The sequence below is a fragment of the Homo sapiens genome, chromosome Y (genome assembly GCF_000001405.40).
Source record: "Homo sapiens chromosome Y, GRCh38.p14 Primary Assembly".
Lineage (NCBI taxonomy): Eukaryota > Metazoa > Chordata > Mammalia > Primates > Hominidae > Homo > Homo sapiens.
The window spans coordinates 2,507,632-2,519,880 of NC_000024.10; positions in this window are offsets into that span (position 1 = coordinate 2,507,632).

A 12,249-nucleotide genomic window follows, 5' to 3' on the forward strand; every position below is an offset into this window, starting at 1 on the left:
CACGCCTGTAATCCCAGCACTTTGGGAGGCCGAGGTGGGCAGATCACCTGAGGTCAGGAGTTTCAGACTAGCCTAGCCAACACGGTGAAAACCTATGTCTACTAAAAATACCAAAAAAAATAGCTGGGTATGGTGGCAGGCGCCTGTAATCCCAGCTACTTGAGAGGCAGAGGCAGGAGAATTGCTTGAACCTGGGAGGCGGAGGCTGCAGTGAGCTGAGATCAAGCTATTGCACTAAAGCCTTGGCAACAAGAGCGAAACTCCGTCTCAAAAAAAAAGAAAGAAAGATATATGAGGTCACACTATTGCTCAGGCTGGAGTGCAGTGCTGCGATCTCCAGTCACTGCAGCCTCCATCTCCTGGGTTCAAACAATCTTCCTGCCTCAGCCTCTCAAGTAGCTGGGACCACAGGTGCACACCACCATGCCTGGCTCTTTTTTTTCTTTTGGTAGAAATGGGATCTTGCTATGTTGCCCAGGCTGGTCTCAAACTCCAGGGCTCAAGTAATCGTCCTGCCTCAGCCTCCCAAAGAGCTGGGATTACAGGCATGAGCCACCATATCTGGTATATTTTTTAGTGGAAGAGGCAAAGATGGCCACAGTGTGGCCCTTCAGGGGGCCTGATCCGAAAACATCACCGTGGGCTGGGGTGGTCTGTTCCTGTCAGCCCCTGGTCATGCAGGAGGGCTTCAGTGATGTTAGCCACATTCTAAACAGAAACAGCTTGAGGTTTCTCCAGGGAATCTTGTTCTGTTAAATAGCACCTGTGGGGTCAAAGTTCAGCCCACTAGCAACAATTCCTGATAGCGCAGTGCCTCCCTCCCGTGAGATTCTCCTTGAAATTTAGCAGCCTGGAAAGCAACCTTCCTGGTTGTAAGATATGTGGGCCAGTCTCCCTGTGCGTGGGGACACAGCCTCTGTATCTCTCTCCTATTCCTGGTGCTAATTCTCTCGTGCACATAGTAGAATCCCAGTAAATAACCATGTAATTCATTAGTAATAATATAATAGACTATTGTAATCCATTTTGATGTCCCAATTGACCTTAGCTGTGATTCATGTTTCCTTTATTCTTTTCTTTATTTTCTTTCTTTCTTTGCTTGCCTTTGTTTCTCTCTCTTTTCCTTCCTTCCTCTCTTTCTTTCTTCTCTTTCTTTTTTCTTTTGCTTGCTTTCTCTCTCTCTCGTTTTCTTTTTCTCTTTTTCTTTCCCTTTTCTCTTTTTTCTCCTTACTCTTCTCTTTTTCTCTCTCTTTTTCTCTTCTCTTTCTCTTTCTTTTTCTTTCTCCTTTGTTTCTCTTTCTCCTTTCTCTTTCTTTTTCTTTCTCTTCTCTCTCTCTCTCTCTCTCTCTGTCTCTGTGTCTCTCTCTTCCTGTTGAGGTCTCATTCTGTTGCTCAGGCTTAAGTGCAGTGGCACAGTCATAGCTCACTGCAGCCTCAATCTCCCAGGCTCAACGGATCCTCCTGCCTCAGCCTCTCAAGTCATTGGTACTACAGGCACACGCCACCACGTGTGACTAATTAAAAAAAATTTTTTTTGCTGTAATCCCAGCAGTTTGTCAGGCTGAGGCGAGTGGATCACTTGAGGAATTCGAGACGAGCCTGGCCAACATGGTGAAAACCCGTCTCTACTAAAAATACAAAAATTAGTCGGGCATGGTGGCATGCACCTGTAGTCCCAGCTACTGAGGAGGCTGAGGCAAAAGAATCACTTGAACCTAGGGAGGTCGGGAGGTGGAGGTTGCAGTGAGCTGAGATCGTGCCACTGCACTCCAGCCTGGGCGACAGAGCAAGTCTCCAACTAAAAAAAAAAAAAAAAAAAAAATTTATAGAGATGGAGTCTCACCATGTTGCCCAGGCAGGTCTCAAAGTCCTGGCCTCAAGGATCCTCCCTCCTTGGTTTCCCAAACTACTGGAATTACAGGCATGAGCGACCACACCTGGTCTCATGTTTTATTTTGTGTTTCAGTGTTTAATTCCTCAAAGTCATGGGCCCTGTGGCTGAGCACTGGTACATGCCTAGGCAGAGGTTATCCCCAGAGTAAACTCTCATAAAGAGGTATTCTGGGCCGGGTGCAGTGGCTCGCGCCTGGAATCCCAGCACTTTGGGAGGCTGAGGCGGGTGGATCACCTGCAGTCAGGAGTTTGAGACCAGCCAGCCCAACATAGTGAAACCCTGTCTCTACTAAGAACTACAAAAATTAGCCGGGCATGGTGGCAGACACCTGCAATCTCAGCTACTCGGGAGGCTGAGGCAGGAGAATCCCTTGAAGTTGGGAAGCGGAGGTTGCAGTGAGCCGAGATCATGCCACTGCACTCCAGCCTGGCGACAGAGTGAGATTCCATCTTAAAAAAAAAAAAAAAAAAAAAAAAAAAAAGTTGTCCTGTGCATTAGTGGATGGTTTCCGTGGAGTTTGGGATACAATGTCTGGGAAGTGCTGAAAGATTCTGAGCTGAATTATCCGCCATCCGCTTTATATAATGCTTCACATTATCAGACTCCTCACACCTTAATGATCCCTGAGCACATCTTTGAATATCATTGTGAAAAATCCCCAGAATTCATAGGGTAAGATGTTAATGAAAAGTCAATACCATTTCATGTATATCTCAGCCTCTGTCTTGGCTGGTGTTCTCAACTGGCTGTGAGCATGAAACATCCTCAAGGCTTTTTCTTTTTTCCTTTTTTTTCTTTTTTGAGATGGAGTCTCGCTCTCGTCCCCCAGGCTGGAGTGCAGTGGCAGATCTCAGCTCACTGCAACCTCCACCTCCCGGGTTCAAGTGATTCTCCTGCCTCAACCTCCCCAGTAGCTGGGATTACAGGTGCCCATCACCATGCCCAACTAATTTTGTATTTTTAGTAGAGATGGCATTTCACCATGTTGGCCAGGCTGGTCTCAAACTCCTGACCTCAGGTGATCCATCCACCTTTGCCTCCCAAAGTGCTGGGATTACAGGTGTGAGCCACTGCGCCCGGCCCTCAATGCTTTTTTTATCAAAAAATTCTAAATTATTTGGGCAACTTTTTGACAATAAGGATGTTCTACAATACATGCCTGTGATACTTTATATTTTTAGAGTGCCAAGTATCAAATCTGTTTCCATCACAAATAATATCCACCAGCTGGAATGTGTGGAGACAGCATTGCTCTGTTAAGTTCCATTAAAGGTGTTATTAGCATCTATATTAATCTGGGTTCTCCAGAGAAACAGTACCAATGGGATGGATGGATGGATACATAGATCAATAGATAGATATATTGATAGATATTAATAGATAATACATAGATGATAGACACAATGGGATGGATAGATATTAATAGATAATACATAGATAATAGATAAAATGGGATGGATGGATAGATAGATTTTTTTTTTTTTTTTGAGACAGAGTCTCACTCTGTCACCCAGGCCGGAGTGCAGTGGCATGATCTCAGCTCACTGTAGCCTCCACCTCCCAGATTCAAGCAATTCTCCTGCCTCAGCCTCCTGAGTAGCTGGGACTACAGGTGCCCACTACCATGCCCTGTTAATTTTTGTATTTTTAGTAGAGACAGGGTTTCACCATATTGGCCAGGCTGGTCTCAAATTCCTTACCTCGTGATCCACCTGCCCCTGCCTCCCAAAGTGCTGGGATTACAGGCGTAAGCCACTGCACCCAGCAATAGATAGATATTAATAGATAATACATAGATGATAGATACAATGGGATGGATGGATAGACAAATAGATATTAATAGATAATAACCAGATGATAATTGATTGATTGATAGATCTGGGCAGTATGTGCAACAAAGGTATGGCTCATCTGTTTGGCCGCTGCGTGCTCAAACCCCTTACAGGATGGAGAGCACGCAGACGGACAGATGCAGAAGCCGGGGCAAACACTTTGGGGATCTGGCCCCATGGTAGCATGAAGGGCTGGGTGCCTGCAACTCCTGAAGCCCAAGTTGTTGTGTGTTACAGTGCATTCTTTTGGCTTTGCTGTCCGCAGACAACTTGAGTGTTTGCTCTCTGTGGACAGCTTGTGCCTCCTTGGTGGCCAAGTCCTTGTCAGTGTCCTGGAAGAATCAGGTCACCCATGGACTTGAAGGATGATGAATGCAGGGGTTTTATTGAGTGGTGGAGGTGGCTCTCAGCTGGATGGATGGGGAGCTGGAAAGGGAATGGAGTGGGAAGATGGTCTTCCCCTGGAGTTTGGCCGTCCAGCAGCCGATCTCTCCAACCGTCCCCAGCTAAACTCCTCTCAGCATTCAGACACTCCTTCTCTTCTTTCTGCCAATCTTTTGCTCTTCGGTTCGTCTCCTCCTGGAGCCAGGGGTTTGGGATTTATATGGGTACAGGATGGGGGGAGTGGGGGGCCAAAAGGCAACGTTTGGGTGTGAATACAGGCATGCCTGTTCTCATTTCAGGCTGTGGGTTTCCAGGCGTGAGGGTGGGGCCTTTGCTGGGGAACCACCCTCTTCTACCCAGTATTTCCCTGTCTCCTGCCTGTATCACCTTCAGGGTGATCATTTCCTCATGCCTTGGGGGCAAGCCTGACAGCTCATTGTTGGGATTGATGCTATGGTCATTAGTATGTTTATTATTATTTTTAATCAGTATCACAATTGCATCTCTCGAGCCCACAAAGCTTTGATGGGCACAGAACTATGATTTTCATCCACAAGGACATGAAAGCATCAAGGAACTGCTATTTCAGGGCAGAGGTTTATTTTCACTTTGGTTTTGTTTACAAGGAGTTTTAGAGATTGGAGTTTCCAGGAATACAAATCACAGGTTTCCACCTATGAGAACGATATGCAGAGACAACCCCCTGCCCAGTCTGGCAGGTGTGTTCCCAGACCGAACCGAGTGTCAGACCGCTTATTGTCATGGCCCCATAATGAGACGCAGATGAATTGGGAAAGAACAGAGTTTATTTCTGTAACTGGGTACAGGGAGAAGGCTGGGAAAATATCGCCAGACCAACTCCAAATTACAAAATTTTCCAGACCTTATGTATCTTCTAAAATATATGTCTACATATAAGTGTGTATCCATCTAAAGACATAAGTGAGGCCGGGCGCGGTGGCTCACGCCTGTCATCCCAGCACTTTGGTATGCCAAGATGGGCGGATCACCTGAGGTCAGGAGTTCTAGACCAACCTGGCCAACATAGTGAAATCCCATCTCTACTAAAAAGACAGAAATTAGCTGGGAGTGGTGGCATGCACCTGTAGTCCCAGCTACTTGGGGGTGGGGGTGGGGGCCGAGGCAGGAGAATCACTTGAACCCGGGAGGCGGAGGTTGCGGTGAGCTGAGATTGCGCCATGGCACTCTAGCCTGGGGGACAAGAGCGAGAGGTCTCAAAAAAAAAAAAAAAAGACATAAGTGATTCACTTCTTCTAATCTGTAACTAAGGTCTGAGTCCTGAAGACCTTCCTCTGGAGCCTCAGTAAATTGACTTAATCTAGATGGTTCCAGGTGCTGGGGTGATTACCCTTATCTTGTCTCCTGCTAAATCATGGAGGTTTGGGGAGTTCCTTTAGACCCCCAATAAAACTTGTTTGTGGAGGCCTGCAGAGTTCCTTCAGAACCCCAGTAAAACTTGTTTAATCTGAAACAGGTCCTGTTAAGAATTCCTTCGTTATCTTTTCATGCTTTAAGGCCCAGGAAAGCCCCGGGCAAAACTCTTGGTGGGCTTTTGTTACATTCCAGCCTTTGTATAAGGGCACTGGTTGTTTCAGCTTTTAATATGTAACTCCACTGGTCAGTGAGTGCTGAAACGGTTGCCACGGAGGCCTGCCTGTTCAGCTGTTAGTGAGACCTGGCCTGCCACAGGTGGGTCTGATGAAACTTTCCAGCCCCTGTCCTGAAATTTGACTTTAGAGAAGTTGCATACCAGTTCAGTTTCTTGTTTGTTTGTTTGTTTGTTTTGACACGGAGTCTCACTCTGTTGCCCAGGCTGGAGGGCAGTAGTACAATCTTGGCTCACTAGAGTGCAGTAGTACAATCTTGGCTCATCTGCCTCCCGGGTTCAAGCAATACTCCTGCCTCAGCATCCTGAGTAGCTAGGATTACAGGCACACACCACCACGCCCAGCTAATTTTTGTATTTTTAGTAGAGACAGGGTTTCACCATGTTGGCCAAGCTGGTCTCAAACTCCTGACCTCAAGTAATCTGCCCATCTCGGCCTCCCAAAGTGCTGGAATTACAGGCATGAACCACCACACCCGGCCCCAGCTCAGTTTCTTAAGGACTCTGTAACAAGGGAGGGAGAACATCGCCAATTTGGGGCATTCCTTCTGATGCTGAAGGTGCATGATTCTTGCTGTTTCTAACTCTGAGTTCCAGAGGTGGTTTTTTCAGAAGCAGAGCCTCAGCTGGGCACGGTGGCTCACACCCATAATCCCAGCACTTTGGGAGGCCGAGGCAAGAGGATCACTTGAGGCCAGGAGTTCAAGACCGGCTTGAGCAACAGAGCGAAGCCTCATGTCTACTGAAAATTAAAAAAAAAAAAAAAAAAAAATGAGCTGGCTGTGGTGGCCTGCACCTGTGGTCCCAGCTACTTGGGATGCTGAGGTGGGAGGATGGCTTGAGCTGTGATGGTACTATTGCAGCCTGGACAACAAAGCAAAACCCTGTCTCAGACACACACACACACAAAAGAAGCAGAAGAAGTTGTTTGGAGCCAGGATGGCTCATTTGCCCACAGGAACTCACAGGAAGTCTGAAAATAGTCAGGTAGAGCACATAGAAGCTGCAACAGCTGTGAGCTCCCCCCAGAGTCCCTGAGCACATCTCTATCGCGCGTGGGGGCTGCTGATGCTGGTATCATTTCCAAAACAATAAGTCAGGATCTCCCAGACAGACGGGAGTGCTGCCGACAGCCTTCTCTGTTTTTCTTTTTTTAAAATTTTTAGTTATTCTACGTATGAAAACCAAAAAGTACCTGAGACAAGTCTCCATCAATTTAGAAAGTTTATTTTGCCAAATTTGAAGATGCAGCCTCAGGAACTCCTGACAACATGTCCCCAAAGTGTTTGGGGCACAGCTTGCTTGGTTTTATGCATCTTAGGGAGGCATGAGACATCAATCAGTCTATGGAAGATGTACATTGGTTCTGTCCGGAAAGGTGGCACAACTCGAGGCAGGGAGAGAGCCTGCATTTCATAGGCTGATAAGAGACAAATGGTTGCTTTCTTTCGAGTTTCTGATTAGCCTTGTACTGAAAGCACGATGTACAGGAATACTCACTTATGCCTTAGTCTGGCTTAGTGAAACAAGAGGGTAGAGGAAGCAATCAGGTATGCATTTGTCTCACGTGAGCAGAGGGATAACTTTGAGTTCTATTTATTTATTTTATTTATTTTAAGACAGAATCTTGCTCTTGTTGCCCAGGCTGGAGTGCAGTGGCGCGATCTCAGCTCACTGCAACCTCTGTACCCTGGGTTCAAGCGATTCTCCTGCCTCAGCTCCTCGAGCAGCTGGGATTACAGGCACCTGCCACCATGCTTGGCTAATTTTTGTATGTTCAGTAGAGATGGGGTTTCCCCATGTTGGCCAGGCTGGTCTCGAACTTCTGACCTCAGGTGATTGATCCACCTGCCTCAGCCTCCCAAAGTGCTAGGATTTACAGGTGTGAGCCACCACACCCGCCTTAACTATGAGTTATTTCTGTCCTTTGTCTACAAGGAATTTCCCTGTGGGGATATTATGAGGGAAGCATGTAGCTTTTAAACAAATCTTTGTAACTATCTTATTTTAGAATAGAATGGGAGACGGGTTTGCCCAAAACAGCTCCCAGATCGACTTTTCCCTTTGGCTAAGTGATTCTGGGATCCCGAGATTTATTTTCCTTTCACACATACATAATAGTTGTACAAATTTATGGGGTACATGTGAGATATATATATATATACATACATATACATATATATATTTTTTTACTTTACGTTCTGGGATACAGGTGCAGAACGTGCAGGTTTATTACATAGGTATACATGTGCCATTGTGGTTGGCTGCACCCATCAACCCATCATCTAGATTTTAAGCCCCGTATGCATTAGGTATTTGTCCTAATGCTCTCTCTCCCCTTGCCCCCCACCCACCCCACATGTGATATTTTGATATCAGCATAGAATGTGTCATGATGAAATCAGGATAATTAGGGTACCCATCACCTTAAGCATTTATAATTTCTTTGTGGAAATCACATTCCAATTCCACTCTTTCAGTTATTTTGAAATACACAATAAATTATTGTGAATACAGTCACCCTATGGTTTGGCCAAACACTAGACTGTATTTCTTTTATCCAACTGTATTTTTGTACCCATGAACCATCCTCTCTTAATCATCCCCTCCCACTAACCTTCCCAGTCCCCAGTCACCATCATTCTACTCTCTATCTCCGTGAGTTCAATTTTTTAAGCTCTCACATATGAGTGACGACAAGCAATGTTCTCTTTGACATTTTCCCCTGTCCTTCATTCCATCAAACAAACCTCATTTTACCATGATGCCACCATGATATAATAACAGCTGCACATGCAAAGCCATTGATTGTAACATGACTTCATGACCTGTGCATAAAAAAGCATGCTAGTGTAATCCCAGCACTTGGGGAGGCCAAGGCGGGTGGATCACAAGGTCAGGAGTTCAAGACCAGCCTGGCTAATATGCTAAAAAACCGTCTCTACTAAAAAAAAAATACAAAAATTAGCCAGGCATGGTGGTGGGCGCCTGTAATCCCAGCTGCTTGGGAGGCTGAGGCAGGAGAATCTCTTGAACCCGGGAGGCAGAGGTTGCAGTGAGCCAAGATCGTGTCACTGTACTCCAGTCTGGGTGACAGAGTGAGATTCCGTCTCAAAAAACAAAAAAAAAAAAACAAAAAAAAAAACCCAAAAAAACATGCTAGTTATGGCCCATCTTTGCTTGTGAAGGATAAAAATGATTATAAATTTTTCCCTTTCTGGCCAGGTGCAGTGGCTCATGCCTGTATTCCCAGCACTTTGGGAAGCCGAGGTGGGAAGATCACTTGAGCTCAGGAGTTCAAGACCAGCTTGAGTAACATGGCGAAACTCTGTCTCTCAAAAATACAAAAAATTAGCCAGGCATGGTGGCATGCATCTGTGATGCCAGCTACTTGAAAGCTGAGGTGGGAGAATCATTTGAGCCCAGGAGGCGGAGATGGCAGTGAGCCGTGACTGCATCACTGCACTCCAGCCTAAGCCACAGAGCGAGAACCTGTCTCAAAAACAAAAACAAAACAAAAAAGAAATGCTTCTTTTCAGCCTCAAGCTTGATTGGTCTTTCCTACTCTGGGCTTTAGACAAGGGATGGTCAGTTTTCTGAAGCTGTATTTATTCAAAGTTCTGCACAGTTTTACTTTAGCAAATTTCAGACAATGAACATTGTAGGGTTTTTTTGTTGTTTTTGACCTTTTGAGATCCTTAGTTTTGGAAGCAGCTGTGATCGTTTCAGTGACTATGTGGGCACTCATAGAATGTTTATATCTGAAGTGTCTGGTGTTGGGGGGGAGATTAAAGAGATGGTGTCTTTGAAATCTGTTTCTAAATCTGTTATCCAGTTTAAAATTCTCTTTCATTGTAACGAGCAGAAAGACAATAAGAACAGGTGCAGAGAAGGCAGGCTGTGTTGTTCTTTCTTCAGAGTGGGAAGCTTCGTAAGATTCAGGGGCTGGCAGTCACCAAACCCCACATAAACCTGTCTGTGTGCTTTCATTGAAAGTATACTTTAGGCTGGGCATGGTGGCTCACGCCTGTAATTCCTGCACTTTGGGAGGCCGAGGCGGGTGGATCACCTGAGGTCAGGAGTTCAACACCAGCCTGGCCAACATGATGAAACCCCATCTCTACTAAAAATACAAAAAATTAGCCAGACATGGTGGCAGGCACCTGCCATCCCAGCTACTCGGGAGGCTGAGGCAGGAGAATCACTTGAACCCAGGAGGAGGAGGTTACAGTGAGCTGAGATTGCGCCACTATACTCCAGCCTGGGCAACAAGAGCAAAACTTCGTCCCAAAAAAAAAAAAAAAAAAAGAAAATGTACTTTAAACAGCTAATGATGACTACATTTTTGTTTCAGCTCCAATGTATCTTTCTAAGGTCAGATTTCTTCCTTCCTTCCTTTCTCTTTCTCTCTTTCTCTTTCTTTTCTTTTTTTCTCTTCCTTCCTTTCTTTCTCTTTCTTTCTTTCTCTTTCTTTCTCTTTCTTTCTTTCTTCTCTTTGTTCTTTCTCTCCTTCTTCTTATTCTTTTTTCTTCTTCCCCTCCCTCCCTCCCTTCCCTCCCTCCCTCCGTCCCTCCCTCCCTCCCTTCCTTCTTTTTTCTTTTCCTTTCTTTTTTTTTCTTTCTTTCTTTCGAGATGGGGTCTTGCTATGTTAACCAGGCTGGTCTTAAACACCTGGCCTCAAGCAATCCTCCCGTCTTGGCCTCCCAAAATGCTAGGATTACAGGCATGAGCTACTGTGTCCAGCCTGAGGTTTCTGTCTTCATTCTCCATTGCATGCTTGTCCACCATAGAGTCTATTCAACTACATGTTCTGTAAAAGCATCATAATGGAAAAACAGTTTTTCTTTGCTTTACATTCCCATATGTTCCATGTATGAAATCCAGAAAAGGCTAAGTTCTCAGACATGATCTGCTCCTGTCGGAATTCTAAGGACTGAGGGAGAGTACATTATTCTCACATTCTAAGTCTTAAAGTCATTCTCAGTGCTTTCACTTTCAACATTTTTGTCTGAACGATGACCGCACGTTCATTTTTCAGGGTGCATTTTGGTCTCCAGTTTAAATATCCTATCTGTGAGGCCGGGCATGGTGGCTCATGCCTGTAATCCCAGCACTTTGGGAGGCCAAGGTTGGTGGGTCACGAGGTCAGGAGATCGAGACCATCCAGGCTAACATGATGAAACCCCGTCTCTACTAAAAATACAAAAAATTACCTGGGCATGGTGGCGGGTGCCTGTAGTCCCAGCCACTCAGGAGGCTGAGGCAGGAGAATCACTTGAACCCGAGAGGCAGAGGTTGCAGTGAGCAGAAATCGCGCCACTGCACTCCAGCTTGGGTGACGACAGAGCGACACTCTTTCTCAAAAAAAAAAAAAAAATCCTATGTATGTTCCATCTCTTCTTTATTTCTATGATATGGAATGTGACATGGTTTGGATTTGTGTCTCTGCCCAAAGCTCACGTTGAATTGTCATCTGTGGTGTTGGAGGTGGGGCCTGGTGAGAGGTGGGTGAATAACAGGGGTTGTTTCTAATGGCTTACCATCATCCCCCAGTGCTGTCTTGTGATAGAATTTTGTTTGTTTGAGATGTAGTTTTGCTCTTGTAGCCCAGGCTGGAGTACAATGGCACAATCTCCACTCACTGAAACCTCTGACTCCTGGGTTCAAGCGATTCTCCTGCCTCAGTGTCCAGAGTAGCTGGGATTACAGGCGCCTGCCACCAAGCCTGGCTAATTTTTCTATTTTTAGTAGAGATGGGGTTTCACCATGTTGGTCAGGCTGATCTTGAACTCCTGACCTCAAGTGATCCCCCTGCCTCAGCCTCCCAAAGTGCTGGGATTAGAGGCGTGAGCCACCGCACCCGGCCTCGTGATAGAGTTCTCAGGAGATCTGGTTGTTTAAAAGTGTGTGGCACCTTCTCCTTCACTCTCTCTCTCCTGCTCCACCATGTGAAGATGTGTGCGCTTCACCTTTCCCTTCACCACGACTGTAAGTTTGCTGAGGCCTCCCCAGGAGCAGAAGCATGTACAGCCGGCAGAACTGTGAGGCCTCCACAGCCATGCTTACTGTACAGCCTGTGAATCTGTGACTCAATTAAACCTCCTTTCTTTATGAAATACCCAGTCTCAGGTAGTTCTTTATAGCAATGTGAGAACAAACTAATACAGAAAGAAAATTTTTTCCTGATGAGAAAATGTCTGACAGTTTTCCTCAAAATTTGTATCGTTGTACAGATGTCCAAGTTGGTAGCTCAGGAAGTCTGTAATTACCAACAACATTCTTCATCATCGTCACTGTCATCACCATCATCATCATCATCCTCACTGTCACCATCATCATCACCCTCATCATCATCATCCTCACCATCATCATCATCCTCACCATCATCATCACCATCATCACCATCACCATCGTCATCATCCTCACCATCATCATCACCATCATCACCATCACCATTATCATCCTCACCATCCTCACCATCATCATCATCCTCACCATCATCATCACCATCA